The sequence below is a fragment of the Homo sapiens genome, chromosome 6 (genome assembly GCF_000001405.40).
Source record: "Homo sapiens chromosome 6, GRCh38.p14 Primary Assembly".
NCBI lineage: Eukaryota > Metazoa > Chordata > Mammalia > Primates > Hominidae > Homo > Homo sapiens.
Window position 1 is genome coordinate 110318198 of NC_000006.12, and position 15618 is coordinate 110333815.

The window sequence follows — 15618 nt, forward strand, 5'->3', positions numbered from 1 at the left end:
TAGGGTTTTATTTTATTAAAGATGACACTTTGTCTACTTTAAGCATTTCTTCTTATTCTACAGATTTCATCTTGGACAGATATATCTCTATTGAAGAGACATTCTTTTTCATTCACTCCCCCTGATAAGGTCCCCTCTTCCTTTCTTAGCTCAGAAATAAAACACAAGGGCCGGGCGTGGTGGCTCACGCCTGTAATCCCAGCACTTTGGGAGGCCGAGGCAGGCAGATCACACAAGATCAGGAGTTTGAGACCAGCCTGGCCAGCATGGTGAAACCCCGCCTTTACTAAAAAAAAACATACAAAAGTTAGCCGGACATACTGGCATGTGCCTGTAATCCCAGCTACTAGGGAGGCTGAGGCAGAATTGCTTGAAACCGGGAGGGCGGAGGTTGCAGTGAGCCGAGATTGCGCCACTGCACTTCAGCCTGGGCAACAGAGCAAGACTCTACCTCAAAAAAAAAAAAAAAAAAGAAAGAAAGAAAGAAAAGAAAAGAAATAAAACACAAAAATTATTCAATTTTAACCATTTATTAAACACCTCATTGATAGACATTAGCTTTTGTAAACAACTGAAAGTCCTCCATAAACTTCTGCTCCTAAAAATTAATTATTGATTTTTCAAACTTTCTAGTTAAGATTTATGGCCAGGGCTTCAATAAGCTCTCTTGTAAGCAAAATAAGTGAGGGCAGTAACTTCTAGCTAAGTTCCAACTCAACTAATTATGTTCTCTGTCTCTCTTTAATTCCCCTTGTAATTTTAGCCAAATAAAGCAAATTAGGCCTAGACAAAGGAAAAAATATTTTGTGAAATTTTTTTAATTATTTAACTTAAAGGGATCTAATTTATTTTCATTTCATTTTGTATCCCAAAAGCTTGAATGGTATTTCTGCCAACCCATAAGTAGAATCTGGCAAAGGGAGCCCTTAAAATTTTGGAACTTAAGAATCACTTCAATGATCTGCGTGTTTACAGAACGATCAACTCTATGCTCTATGTTTATACAGTACCACTATTTTTGAAAGACTCGAGGGCAGAATTGTATGCTTATTGTTTTTATCCCTGTGTGTGTATGTGTGTGTGTGTGTGTGTGTGTGTAGCAGTAAATACAACAGATACTATTGTTGTAAAGTTATATTCTGAATATCCAGAGCATGGGTTCTTATTCTTAGGTTATTCTTACAAATTGATAGATGGGTAGATAACTAGGTAGAGAGGTAGAGATAGATAGATAGATAGATAGATAGATAGATAGATAGATAGATGACAGACAGAAAAACAGGCTTTAAAACATATTTTATTTTTTCTTTTTAAAAACAGCCACTGTTGCTTAGATTAATTTTATACTGCAAGGCATGTTTCCTGGAGGCATATGGTTTGGGGGTTGCCATGAAAAGCTGAATCTGGAGACTTCCCTTAGAACAGAGCACTGTATTTATGATTTAACTATTTCTTGTTAGCAGCAGACAGTGTACCACGGACTACAGAACTCTGTCGTGTATCATGGTCTTTCACATTGAAAAAAAAAAATAGTACCTAATTAAGCTGAGCTTGATGTTCCGCACACTCTACCCAAACACCATATCCTCTGGAATTTCATTTAAAAATGCATGACCCCAACCATGCCTCCAGGACCACAATGCACAAGTCTAGGGGTGCCACGCCCATTGCTGTCTCATGCCATGCTGTCCTATGCCCTATGCCTCTGCTCCCGGGCTCCTCTGGCCTAGGAAGCTTTCCCCATCCATCTGTCTCCCCCCTGTTAGAGAACACCCAACTCTCTTGCACCCTACCTATTTACCAGTGTGGAGGGGTGTTTTATTGAGGCTTAATATCCCAAGGCCTGGCACAGTGCCAGCCATAAAGCAGGTGTTCAACAAATACCCTCTGGATTGAGGAATGAATACATCAATGATGCACATACCAAATGCTGGCCTTGCTGTACAAGCTTGAGCACAGATTTGAGGGAAGTATATTTCTTAATGTTAAAAAGCAGCATAAGAGGATGGGGGTGGATTTTGCATTAGTACCTTCAGAGCTTTTATTTTTTTCCTTGCCCATTATGACTCACTTCTGCTAACTGAAATTTTTAGGTAACAGTGACTCTAATATTCTGCCAGTTTCGTAGGCTTTCATTGTCAAGATGAGTTCTAAATGAGGCATAAGCCCCAAAAGCAACCATAAAGCTTTGCATTACATACGGAGGGGGAGGGAGCATTGGTTAGTAAAAGATTCTGATTAAGAACCATTTAGTGTCATCTCTGGTGACTCCCATCTGCTGGCCTTCTAGTAACCCGGAAGTACATCAAAGCACAGAACCTTATCTGGCTAAAATGGCCCCGCATTAAAAACCATTGTGAGGTCCGGAATTTTACGTCATTCTTTCTGGAGGACAAAAATCCTTCTAGTGAGCTTCAACAACAAATTCTCTATTATCGCTCATCAAGCTGAATAATAATTATACATCCAGTTATCCACCTTCACAAAGAGTTGGTTAGATCCTTAAGGGCAGAGACTATATCCTCAGGGCCCAGAACAGTTCCTGGCACCTTGTAGACACTCAAAAATACTTGGTTAATAACCATTCTATACTGCTCTGTGCACAGTACAAGCTCACAGAACTGAGGGGGACCTTAGAAATAATTTTGATACAATCTCTTCCATTTCAGGATCAGAACAAGGAGAGCCAGAGAAGCAAAGTGAAGTACCCAGGTTTACAAGATCAGACTACGGAGGATGCTTTAAAAAAAAAAATTTGGCCAGGCGCAGTGGCTCACACCTGTAATCCCAGCACTTTGGGAGGCTGAGGTGGGTGGATCTCCTGAGGTCAGGAGTTCAAGACCAGCCTGGCCAACATGGCAAAACCCTATCTCTACTAAAAATACAAAAATTAGTCGGGCATGGTGACAGGCTCCTGTAATCCCAGCTACTCGGGAGGCTGAGGCAGGAGAACCACTTGAACCTGGGAGGCAGAGGTTGTAGTGAGCTGAGATTGTGCCACTGAACTCCAGCCTGGGTAACAGAGGGAGACTCTGTCTCTGAAAAAAGAAAAGAAAAGAAAAGAAAAATTTTCTCCTCTCAGCCCATAGTTTCTGGGAAAGATCCAAGAGAGATCTAAAAATGACCATTTCATGCCTCAATAGCTTCTTCTAAGCAAACATGCCTTTTATAAGTTATGGAACATTAACATGAAATACATATAGAATGGAATTTGGTAGCTTGCATTACATAAATTTATTTTGGCGAGTGAAGCCCATAGTTCTCAAATCCGATTCATAAAATTAAAACCTCTTATTTTCTTCTGGAGCCTTTAAGGGCTTTTGAAAATCACAGTTAAAAGGTCCAGATTCTTATCGTTCATGTAAAATCAAACTACAAAACTAAAATTTCAGTATTTTAATTAAGTCTGCCTAAGTCCATCAAATTAATTTGCAGCAGCAAAATAAGATAAAATCATGAGAAGCACAGGGACTAATTCAACAGCCCATCACTCATGATTAATTCAACAAGCTTTTACGTCCATGTTTGGGTGACAAATACTAAAATTCCTATGATTGTCTCACTGCATTATATGATAAATGAGACTTTCTTTTACCCCTAAACTAACTAACCTCCTAAAGATCTGGAAATATATTCTCTCCTACGGAGGAAAAGCGCTTTGCTGCCAGAGAGGCTGGGGAGGAGAACAGGGATGTCAAGAGTGGGCTTGAGGGAGATTCTAAAAATCCAGGATCCCCCGTGCAGCACCAGCTCCACTGTGCAGCTTCCTGAGTGGGCCTCTGTGCAGCTCACAGGCAGTCTGAGCTGCTAATTTGCTAGCACCTCTCAGTTCAGGGCTAAATTTCCCTTGGGCCTTGATTTCCTTTTCTGTCTCTCTTTCCCCCTGGGATCAGGCAACTTGAGAATGGAACCTTCTGATTAACATGTCAAGAGCCATAGACTGTCTTAATGGACAGTCTCTTTGCCTGCTCGGGGCACTGGCTCAGCCTGGAGCTGGGCAGGAACTACCACAATGTGTTAAGTCACTAATAAAGGCCCGTGCTCAGTAATGATTTCAAGTGCTCTGAGATAGAGAGCCTTTGGATTCATTAACTCCTCAGCACACTGCCTGCAAAGCCTCCTCTGCTCTCTTGCCTAGCACATCCCTGGCTGCCAAGCATCTGTGACAGAAGAGTGGAAAGGCAAGTTCCTCCAAATACAAAATGGTGCTTGAACCTCTAGATGATGGTTTTGTTTTGTGACATACTCGACTGCCTACTCACGGGGACCAATCTGTCATTTCAAATGGTTTTCCAAAGCAATTTTCTAAAGTGGATCTTTAAAACACTTTGGGATGAATCATTTAAACATTTCAGGTTGGTGACACTCTTGGAGGAAGGAACATGCCCTAGCAAATGGAAGGTATCTTATCTGCCTCCAAGTGAGTGGATGAGTTTAAGCAACAATGCCTCTGAACACACTTCCCCATCAAGTCCTCATCAGGAGTCGCTGAGAACCTCCCCCACCTCCTTCTTTCAAAAGAGGCAATCAGGATCTTTCACATTCTTCTCTAACTTCTTTGAGCCTGAAACACAACCTGGGTGGTGCTGATATATCTCAGGAACCTCCAGGCTTCTTCATCCAGGGACTGAGCAGAGCCTGCCCAAGGCTGGAGATCTATATGCCACCGGGGACCCTGCAAGAGACAGAAAACATAGGTTGTGTGTAAGGAAGAGGAACTGGGTGGGAGGAGAAGGACACAGTATCAGAGAGGAAGCAAGGCTGCTTTGGCTGTCAGCAAAACACACACATATGCACACAGGCAGCAGGAGGCTCTTTGCGAGCTGCTGTCATTAAGGCCACATCAGTCGCAGGGAGACAAATGAGGCCGGAGACAGCACAACTCCCAGGTTGGGGAATTTGCAGGAGAATGCAAAGGCCCCAGGACTGTCTGACTCTGCATGTATGATCAAAGGCAAACTCCACTTGACCCCATTGGGCTCTCCCTTAACTGCAGCTTATTTTATATGAGGCTGTGCTCCTCCGGGAAAAGAAACTCCCTTATCGACGACAGTCTCCCAAAGCTTAGAGCTTCAAGAATATGTGCCTCTCTAAACAAAGCACCATAATGCTGGGGGCTTGTCTTTGTTCTGGGCATTTGTTTATCTTCCTCAGTGCAGGGAGATGGGACCACGGCCCTTGGCTGCTGGGACCCTGCACAGGCAGAGCGAGGACCCCAGAACTGTCATCACCAGGGCTGGGGAGGGTGGCTTTCTAGCACTGTGAGGCAGCCACCACCTGTTAGCAGAGGTTACGAGGTGCTCCCAAGAACAGAGTGGTTAAGGATGACCCGCTCAGCCCCCTTTTGTAGCAAGGATGGGTGGATGAAGGGTTGGGGGAATGCAATGGTCTGGAGGAAACAAAAATGGTAGCCCCTCCAGTAAAAAGGGGGCACTAGTCAGGAAATCCTTATTAGAGCTCAAAACTCCCACCTATAGTTGTCAACACCAAGAGACCTCCAGGAGGTTTGCTGCAATTCCCAGGGGTGGGGACGGCTCGTGCAGGGTAGGGAAGGGCTGGGGGAAGGGAGAGCTCCAGCAGCTGGCGGGGTCAATGTCTAGTGCCAGGAAAGGCTTTGGGCGTCATAGCATAGGTTTCCTGCAGTGTAGTGAGAATGGGCCCCTAAACCCCTTTTTATATGGTGAGGAAGTAGGCAGGGGAGGGTTCTGGGGGCAAGATAAAGGGATCATTCACATATACACAGTGTTCTCCAGTCAGGTACTGTGGTGGGAACTCTCAGCACCCAAGAAAGAAACATCTAGACAGGCCAGCCGTGAGATGCTTTAGTACAAATGTGGTTTGTTGCCCCTAGATGGGGTGGCCTAGGTGACTCGGGGTTACATAGAAAACAGGAAAGTAGTGGGGAACAAGGTTAGTCTATGTGAAGCCAGACGGTCTGGGTTTGGGGAAGAGGAATCCATTCTCACTTGGGCGTCTGAGATCAATACCAGCGCTTTGGAAGTGATCAAGGGTTATTCAGTTTTGGCATTATTAGACACACATCATTGCAGAATCCCTGTAGAGCCCACAGTCTCACATCCCCACAGCCTGTACTACCCTTGTGGGGGCTGAGCCTCACGCAGTCCCTCTAGATTGAAGGAGGCCTCCCTGGTTTCCCGCAGACTGCCTCTTTTTTCAGGAACCCATAGGGCAGGGCCAGCTGTATGGGCATGCAACCTGTGCAGTCTTAGGAGGCCATGCTCAGTTTAATGCTCTGCTGATGCTGTCTCGAAATTCTTAGTAATTTTATTATTTTTTTTATTACTGCTCCTTGCAGAGCAGGGCTAACTCACAGGCAGTGTGCCTAGAGTCAGTCAAAATTCTTAAAAATTTTTGAACAAAAGGCCCTGCATTTCATTTTATACTGGGCCCACGAATCATGTAGCCAGTCTTCCCTGAGGGACACCTTCTGAAAGAACAGCCTTTTCTTGTAGCTCTTCTTGTTCTGTGCAGGCTGAGCAGGCAGAGACTCTAGTAAGAGAGCTGGAGAACATTAAGTCATACATCTTTCCAGTTAATGCCTCCCACACCCTCATTTCTTTTTTCCTTCTCTGAATTCGATGTTGATTACCATTTGGTCAAACAATATTTATTGAGCCTTAGCCACTCTGTGCCAGGCACTGGTAAATAGAGATATGACTAAAACCCAGGCTCTCCCAAGAGGCACTCATGGTCAGGTGGGGGAGACAGATATGTACAAAATAACTTCGATAGTAAAATGCTAAAATATTCAGGAGAGTTGTTCTCTTTAGGAAATTATTCGATTCTGAAATCATAAATTATCAACACATTTAAACACAAATGCCTCCAGTCCTGCTTGGTCACATTGACAGAGTGAGTGCTTCCCAGGTTGCTGCAGCAGCCAGCACAGCAATATGATGTCCCAGGAGCACTCAGCTAGGCCCGGGGTTTAAAACCTCCCACTTCACTGTCATGGACCACTCACAAGGGCCCCGAGCATCTGGCCCAGGAGTCCCTGGATGAAAATGATGAAGTTCACATGTTATGGTTTTCCTCAAAATCAGGAGTTGGAAAATCTTTTCTATAATGGGTCAAATAGCCAATGTTTTAGACTTTGCAGGCCACACAGTTTCTGTTGCAACTCTTTGCCTCCTGTTGTAGCTCAAAAGCAGCCATAGACAGTAAGTAAACAAATGGTTATGGCTGTCTTCCAATAAAGCTCCATTTACACAAACAGGCAGCAGGCTGGATTGGGCCTGCAAGCTGTAGTTTGCTGACTCCTGCTCCAGCTGATCCTAATTCAGAGGTAGGCTGGCCTAAAAGGGGGGGTTGACTGAAATAATGCAAGGGAGACAGACTATGATGTTGTTGGGGCTCAGAATATGATTTCCCAAAGTCTTGTGCTTTGGCATGGTATGAACTTTAAAGTGTTGTAGGACTTTCTCCTTAGTTCAGGTAAAATGGGGTCTTTGTCAGATGACCATGAGAGACTGGGCTCACAGACACTTTGAAGGGTGAGAAAAATGGAATTTACTGGGCAAAAAGGAAAAAAGAGAAACAGGGACTCTCAGCAAAGCAAAAGTTCTGCTAGCTGGCTTCCTGCCTCACAGATTGAATCCCAGTTTCCACCCCAGAAGAGGAGAGGCCAGGCTCCTCCCCACTGCAAATGGTGCAAACTTCCCAGGGGCTCTGGCCCGTTGTGCATTCCTCCCAGTGCACAGGCTGGTCAGAGTTTCTCTGGGGTCCCCTTTATACTTGACTGTCTCAAAAAGACACTGGATGGGCCTCAAAGGCGAGTTCTCTCTGACCTTCTGTGGCCCTCCTGTCTCTCACTCCTCTTTCTTCCCCAAAGTGAGTTCTAGAAACCAGAATTCCTCTTCCGCAAGGCAGGTGAGAGAAACTGGAGACCCTCTTCCCAAAGCAAGCCATAAAATCTACAAAGGTCACTCTCTCCCTTCTCCCCAAATACCTTTGTTCCAGAGGGATCTTGCCCCATACCCAGGAGGAAGAAACACTACACAGAGAGACCAAGAGGAAGCTGAACAGACAGGCCTTGCTGGGGTTCCCCGCTCAGTCTATTACCATTACATCAGACCCTTTTGTCCAATCACACTTCCACGTAGCTGTCCATCTTCATGGAACCTAAGCATTAAAATAGATCATTTTCCCTGCATCTCTAGGTCTTCATTTCTGAAGGCTTCCATGTCATGTAAAACTTTGATTAAATAAATGTGTTATGCTTTTCTCTTGTTCACCTGTCTTTTGTTAAGAGTGTTGGCCGTATGCTTATGGTGAGTGAGGAAAGGTATTACACCTAGATTATAACCAATGTTGTTAACTGGGTGACTTGGGCAATCAGTCAGGGACCCAGCAGGATCCAGTGGGCTCATTCAAACTGGCTAATTTGAGAGAATTTAACAAAAAGTCTATTTACAAAGGTGTGGGCAGGGCTTAAGGAAACCAATAAAGAATAAATAATGCAATACCTGTGTCTGGTAACACCGGAGAGCCCTTACAAGTCTAAAGGGAACTATATGGAGAAGTCTGTAGTACAGGAATACAGCCAATCCTATTACATACTCCACCCTGTCTGCCCCACCCACCAATCTCCTGCCTCCTGTTGGCCAAACTCAAAGGGAAAGCAGGGAAGACTGAGGCTGTGCTTGGTCCCTGCAGGTCAGCCTCCCGGGGTGGAGCAGGGTGGAGGTTGGGCCAGCAGGGGCAAATGGAAGGCTTCTTGTTCCAGCATTCTTTGGAAAGAGGCAGTGAGACTTGACCAAGGAGTCATTCATTCATTCAGTGGGCATTTGTGCCACATGCCAGGCTCTGTGTCACAATTTAATATAGGCCACAGCTGTGTAAACCAATAAATGCCATAACGGTTATAGGGGCTCTGACAGAGATCTCTACAGGGTACACTGGGGGCACAAAAAGGTACAGCGCCTGAGTATTACTCCAAAATAAATGACTGAAAATACAAAGGCAGAGCATGGGAAGCAGTCTCCACTACTAGAAGCCCAAAAGCACATCAAAGGTCTTTCCAGCATTATTAAAGACATCTTAAACACAGTAGCAGCATTTAACCTGAGCTAACATACAAAAGTAACTTCACAGATCAATAATTTAGAATCCATATGGTAAATCAATATGGTGAAACTATAGAATGATCTTAAGGGTCCACAAATAGTATTCTTCTTGCAACCTAATATTTTTCATTTCCAACTGAGTGTTGACCACAAAGAAGCTAAGCACAGCAGCTGGAACAGTGAATAATGTTAAGTTGAGGAGTCTCAGATGGGGATATAATAGAAACACCGCAAATAGATGCCCTCAGAAGTGCTCTGGCTTAATGCTTTGGTTGAGCTGTTTAAAAAACATTTCACATAAAGCAATGTTCTTATTGGAATCAGTCTGACAGCAGTTTGTGATTATTTCCCCATGGAAACCGCTAGCTTTTATCATCTCTTTCAATTATCATTTGTCTTAATTCTCTAGTGTATACATCAACATTTGTCCTTCCCAAATTCCCACAAAGAGAATTCTCTGAGCACCTTAAAACGTCAATGGCAGGTTAAATAGAAAAGGACAAAAATCATCTTTCCCTTTTTAAAACCTCTTTTTAATCATTGTGATTTTACTCCAAACAATTCCCTAAATGCCAGGGTACATTAAATGCCTATCATCCACGTGTTTCAAATATCAAGTGGCCATAACAACGCCACCCCTATTGCTCCCAGGAGGTGGGAACGTGGATTCCCAATCCTGCCTGCCACCTGTACTTCCTCTTCAGACAGGTAAAGCAGCAGCTTAAGCAGAGGTGGCTGGAAATAACATCATTTTGGATTGGTCTGTTTGTCTGTCCCCAGGAGGCCTGAGCTGAAATGTCAAATGAGGTATTACAATGAGTTGCCACAGAGAAGCAGCTTTGTTCCTGAGCTCCTGCAGGAGTGGGGACCCCCTCTATTTCTAAACCACCAGGGCATTCATACAGAGGGGCCTGCCCCACCTCAGACAAGCATTTCTCAGGGCAGGCGTGGTCCTGATTTCCAATGTAAGGAAGCAGCCTCCTTTCAGTTTTGCAAAGGCCTTATCTGGCACCTTGTCCAGACAATGTGCATTGAAAAGTGAGCAGGCTTCTTCTAATGAGAGGCAAATGTTTTCATTACTAGAGAAAAATTCCAAAAATTCAGATTAAGGACAGCAGAAGATTCCATACGCAACTAGTTCATGTTATTTAGTGGCTATTTTGCAGATATCTGAGATTCTACTTCCCGAAGGGTAAAAAGTGATCACTGAGTCATTCAGTGCATGGAGATAATGGATTTGACTCAAAAAGACTGCAACAAGCACAGCCATGAGGCTTTGGGATATTTTTGTCATTTGTGATCTCAGCATAAAGTTTTGTTTCTTGAAAAAAAGAAAGTGATTCTCTCAAGCCATGAAGCTGAATTCCAAGATTTTACTCCTAAAAGATAATGCCAAAAAAAGGGAATATTTTAAAATACTCCTTTGCCTACCAGCTTACACTCATGTACATAATAGAAATATATTAATTCAAGACCATGTAGCATTTAAAAAATTTACAGGAAAAAAAGCAGGCCCACTCATGACCTAGAAAAGAGAGCTATCGATTCTGTGTTATGCAAAAGCTTTCTTTGTTGTAAAATTTGGAATAACAGCTTCCTCCTTCACAGACCATATCCTCACACCCATGAATGACCTTAGGCAGCCCATGAAGAAATTACCAAAAAATGGTGCCACCATCAGCTTGACAAGCATGTTTCTACATTTTTTGTATAAAATAAACCAAAAGGATGCTTCTAATGCCCCATTCCTCTGTGTTTCAAGGCTACAGTCCTTTGGAGGATGAAATTATATGATGACTAATGTAAATGATCAGTTTCTTTATCACAATAGATAACTGATAGAGTGTTTGGGATATTTTTTATAAAGTCTCAATACTCCCAAATGCATGTTCCCACCCCAGTGAGCTCCTGAAGGGTTTTAAAACCAGCAGTTTTCTGCTGGGAAAGATGGCTAACCATCAATTCTGTGCATCACAGTTGTGTGCGTGGAAATGAACAAGGAACTAGGTTGTGAGTCCTCGACTCCAACTCAGCAATAAAGTGAGTGTGTGTTGATGTGTTGACGATGGAGAAGCCTAAGCTTTCTGGGAGAAACAAATCCAAAACAAGTAAAATAGATTTATTTAGCAATTTTGCTGCAATTTTGTGCTAATTAAGAGCATCTGTTAGTGGGCAGGAAACAATGACTGAAGGAAACTGTTTATTCCTTTTTAGAGGGGGTGGGGGTGGGAGTAGTTGGGGGAGGGAGAGGCACAAAATGGTATCTGGACAGAACATGACTCTAGCCCTGGCTGAGGCTGTGAGCACTGCCGTTACGTTTCTGTAACGCCCTCAGTGTGTGCCCAGCGCTTCTGAAGGCTGCGAGGGGAGTGCCGGGTGCAGTTTCACGTGCCTTCCCCTCAGCCTTCTCCTGTAATTGGCCTGTTTCTCAGACCCGGCCCTGCTTCAGAAAGAGCAAGAATCAGTTATACATTGTGCAGTGATGTTTAAAATTCAGGTAACCCATGCAAAAATTTCATTTAAAAACAAAGGATCTCAGTTTCCGTTCTGGGTAAGCACACTCCCACCCCGCGCCTCCCACGGAATGCAGCAGTAAAACCTGGACAGAATGCACAGAGCGGTTATTTGAGGAATCTGAAAAGTAAACAGTAGCAGGCAGATTGGAGAAGAAGACCAGAATTCAAAGTACCTCGAAACTAGAAGCCAGGTCACCATTGCTTTTCCTTCTGGTGTCCTGCCCGCCCTACTCTAGGCTGCCTGGCACCGGTGGTGGGCACTGGCGCAGCCAGGAAGCACCAGGAGCAGCCCCGCAGTTCAGGCTCCAGGAGGCGGGGCGTCTCCCGATGCTCAGGGATAGTAGAGGAAATCCTCACTTTTCCTCCTTTTTTTTCCTTTCTCCGTTCTTGCAAGTAATCCCACTAAGATGGTAGAAGCCACAGTGGGGGCCTGAAGGCACCTAGAACTCTGCGAAAACGGAAGTTTCCTCTCCTCTCTGAGGCAGTGGACCCCAGAGAGTGGGGTGAATCCTCATTGACTATGTCTGTCTCTCTCTTCCCGCAGCTTGGCCTTGGACTCAGGCACAGTCACAGGAAGTGTGAAGCAGAGCGTAGGCAAAGCAGGGGTAAAAGCCCAAACTTTCTGGTCATAGATTCAAAAACCGTAGGGAACTGGATAATACTGGGGAAACTGGGGAGAAGGAGTAGCTTGGGAAGGCAGCCCCATTAACGGATTTGTAAAGCACCTGGGCTCACTCTAGAACTGTGCATGTGTGGATCTGATCCTGCCTGGCACAGCAAAGACTGAGAACTGAGCTAATAGATGGACCTCTGGAGCTAACAGACAGACAGACCTCTGCCCAAGCCCCAGACTGGCCTGGGCATACATGGGATACACATGGGACAGAGGTGAAACCCCTACCAAGCCTTTGAAAACAGAGCTGACATGGAAATTACAACCCACAGGAGGCTGGTGGGAACTTGAGGCCTGGACCCAACCAGGATAACTGCCTGTTAAAACAAATATATCGACATTATCCACAGTATTTAAACAAAACTCGGCCTTATAATATTCAAATTTTCAGGATACAGTCCCAAACTACTAAGCATATGAAGAATCAGGAAAATCCCAACTTATGTGGGAAAAAGACAATCAGCAGATGCCAATGTAGGCCTGATACAGATGTTGAAATTTTTGGCAAAGACTTAAGAGCAACATTTACAAAATAATCCATGAAGTAAAGGTGGACATGCTTGAAACCAAGGGCAAGATAGAAAGTCTCAGCAAAGAAATAGGAAGCATAGGGAGCCAAATGGAAATTCCAGAACAGAAAATACAATAACTGAAATAAAATCTCAGGGGATGAATTCAATAGCAGAAAGAATTTGACACAAGAAAGAGCCAGTGAACTTGAAGACAGATCAATAGAAAGTATCCAATGTGAAAAACAGAGAGAAAAATTATTGTGGGCAGGGGGGAAAGAGCCTTGGGGACCTGTGCAGCAATACCAAGTGGTCTAGCATTCATGTCACTGATATTCCAGAGGAGGGGAAGAAAGAATGCAGTGCAGGAAAAAAAAAAATTAAAGAAATAATGAGGCCAGGCACGATGGCACACACCTGCAGTCCCAGCCCTTTGGGAGGCTGAGGCGGGCAGATCACTTCAGCTCAGGAGTTCAAGGCCAGCCTGGGCAACATGGCGAGACCCTGTCTCTACAAAAATATAAAAATTAGCTAGGCATGGTAGTAAATCCCAGCTGTAATCCCAGCTACTCTGGTGGCTGAGGTGAGAGGATTGCTTGAGACTGGGAGGTCAAGGCTGCAGTGAGTCATGCTGTGCCACTGCACTCCAGCCTGTCTGACAAAGTGAGACCCTGCCTCAAAAAAAAAAAAAAAAAAAAAGGAAGAAAGAATGACTGAAAGACCCCCCAAATATGATGGAAAATATAGCCTAAAGATTCAAGAAGCTTTGCAAACCCCTCAGAGGAAAACTCGAAGAATTCCACACCTTTATGTGTCATAAGCAAAGTGCTGGATATTAAAGACAACAACAATAAAAAACTGAGCCTCTGCTAATCTTGTGACAGACCCAGTAGTGGGCCAGGGTCAAAACAACAAGGTGAGAACGGGCAGAGCCAGCCCGTCCCATAGGAGCCTCTTCCCCTCAGGCCCCCTCCCTGTCAAGACCCAGCTCTCTCTCTCTGCAAGCCCATCTGCTAAATGTCTCTGGCAGCAGACAGCAGGCATGCTGAAATTCAAATCCAGAGCGCCAATCTGCCGCCTCTGCAGCATGACACAGAGGGTAGGCTGGGAGGCAGGGGAGCCAGAAATCAAATCAGCTCTGACAAGAAAAAATGCATTATAATTCAAGCAGGTCCTGATAACTTTTAGGAAGGAATAAAAAATATAAGACAAGAAGGAATAAACACTCAACTCTGGATTTATCCTCTAAGTTATTTTGATAAGTTGGAAAGAGTGGCTAAACAAATTTGAGTTGGAGTTTGTTCTTAAATTGACATCTTTAAATTCACCACATTTTCTGTGTAGGTCAAAATGGTTCAAATGTGAGCAAGACTGAAACACACCAGGGGATGGCTAAGAGAATAAAACGTAATATATTTTAGATTTTTATCATGGGCAGTAAAAACAGAAGCCATATACCTAGAGTGGATCCAGTGAAAGCCGAGATTTTCACTTGTTTTCATGAGGTGGAAACTACACAGTGTCTGCATACGTAGTAAAGTTTCAGATGTCAAATTATGGGTTTCATTGAGGTAGCACATCAACCTGGAAAGGAGGGACGAGTTTCAGTTTTCTTATGAAAGTAAGTTTATATAAGAATGTTTCGGCCAGGCACGGTGGTTCAGGCCTGTAATCCTAGAGTTTTGGGAGGCTGAGGTGGGAGGATCACCTAAGGCTAGGAGTTCAAGACCAGCCTGGGCAACAAAGCAAGACCCTCATCTCTATGAAAAGTTACAAAATTAGCCAAGTGTGGTGGTACACTCCTGTAGTCCCAGCTGCTTGGGAGGCTGAGGTAGGAGGATCGCTTGAGCCCAGGAATTCAAGGTTACAGTGAGCTATGGTTGCAACACTGCACTCTAGCCTGGGCAACAGAAGGACAACATTTATCGAAAAAAAAAAAAAAGCAAGTGTGCCTAAGAAAGCAAAGGGAATTTAGAAAAACACTAACCATATTTGTAAGGATTATCTCTCTCTCTCTGCCTCTTCTTGTCTCTGTCTGTCTCTCTCACACACCCTGCCTCCACATGTATACACACCCTATTCAAAATACGTAAGGTTACCTGGACTTTCTGAAACTCAGAATCCTAAAAGTTTAACATCATCTGAATCAACACCAATCTGCTATGTTCATCGACTTACTTCAGTCAGTTACCCTTCCCCCAAACATTTACCAGCCCTGAGACGTCAGTGTATTCAGGAGGAAGGTCTGCTGCACCCCTATAAACCCATTTCAAAGATGCTTGGGATCCTGAGTTGCTATTAAAACCAAAGGGAAATGGGGGTTGGCAGAGGGTGGGGAGGACATAAAAGCCACCAGTTTGCTCCAGTTAATGCTTCCTGCCTTGAAATTTTGTCTGTCGATATTTGTAAACCGTGTTTTTATTTGAGATTTGTATTTTATTGGCATATTTTTCACTTGATTTTTATTTTATTATATTATTATTTATTTATGTATTTTTTGAGGGGAGTCTTGCTCAGGCTAGAGTGCAGTGACATGATCTCGGCTCACTACAACCTCTGCCTCCCAGATTCAAGTGATTTCTCCTGCCTCAGCTTCCCGAGTAGCTGGGATTACAGGTGGGTGCTAATTTCTGTATTTTTAGTAGAGATGGAGTTTCACCATGTTGGCCAGGCTGGTCTCAAGCTCGTGACCTCAAATGACCTGCCCACCTCGGCCTCCCAAAGTTCTGGGATTACAGGCGTAAGCCACCACGCCCAGCCTTGATTTTTAACCTATGTTACTTTGAATACTTCTTTTGTATACAGCACTGAGTTGATTTAATTTTATAAACTTT

General features: G+C 44.1%; 1 protein-coding gene across 3 annotated transcripts in view, besides 2 other annotated features; it reads right to left on the reverse strand.

Moving 5' to 3' along the window:
* METTL24 (methyltransferase like 24) overlaps nt 1-15618 on the reverse strand; it is a 114410-nt gene that overhangs the window by 74258 nt on the left and 24534 nt on the right. For 2 of the 3 annotated variants that reach the window (NM_001354594.2, NM_001123364.3), the window contains exon 2: nt 4577-4675. Coding sequence is in view for 1 of the 3 variants with exons in the window: in NM_001123364.3 (NP_001116836.1) it covers nt 4577-4675 (99 nt within the window). In the remaining 2 variants the exon portion in view is untranslated. Of the gene's footprint in view, nt 1-4576; nt 4676-11775; nt 11862-15618 lie in introns of those variants that run through there. The other variant, NM_001354595.2, reaches the window with a different exon arrangement.
* Nucleotides 4643-5250: an enhancer, noted in NCBI's record as "NANOG-H3K27ac-H3K4me1 hESC enhancer chr6:110644043-110644650 (GRCh37/hg19 assembly coordinates)". NCBI's record gives its function as "activates a minimal SCP1, AML or CMV promoter by ChIP-STARR-seq in naive H9 embryonic stem cells {active_cell/tissue: H9 hESC(naive)}" and the evidence as "EXISTENCE:reporter gene assay evidence [ECO:0000049][PMID:30033119]".
* Nucleotides 11903-12403: an enhancer, noted in NCBI's record as "H3K4me1 hESC enhancer chr6:110651303-110651803 (GRCh37/hg19 assembly coordinates)". NCBI's record gives its function as "activates a minimal SCP1, AML or CMV promoter by ChIP-STARR-seq in naive H9 embryonic stem cells {active_cell/tissue: H9 hESC(naive)}" and the evidence as "EXISTENCE:reporter gene assay evidence [ECO:0000049][PMID:30033119]".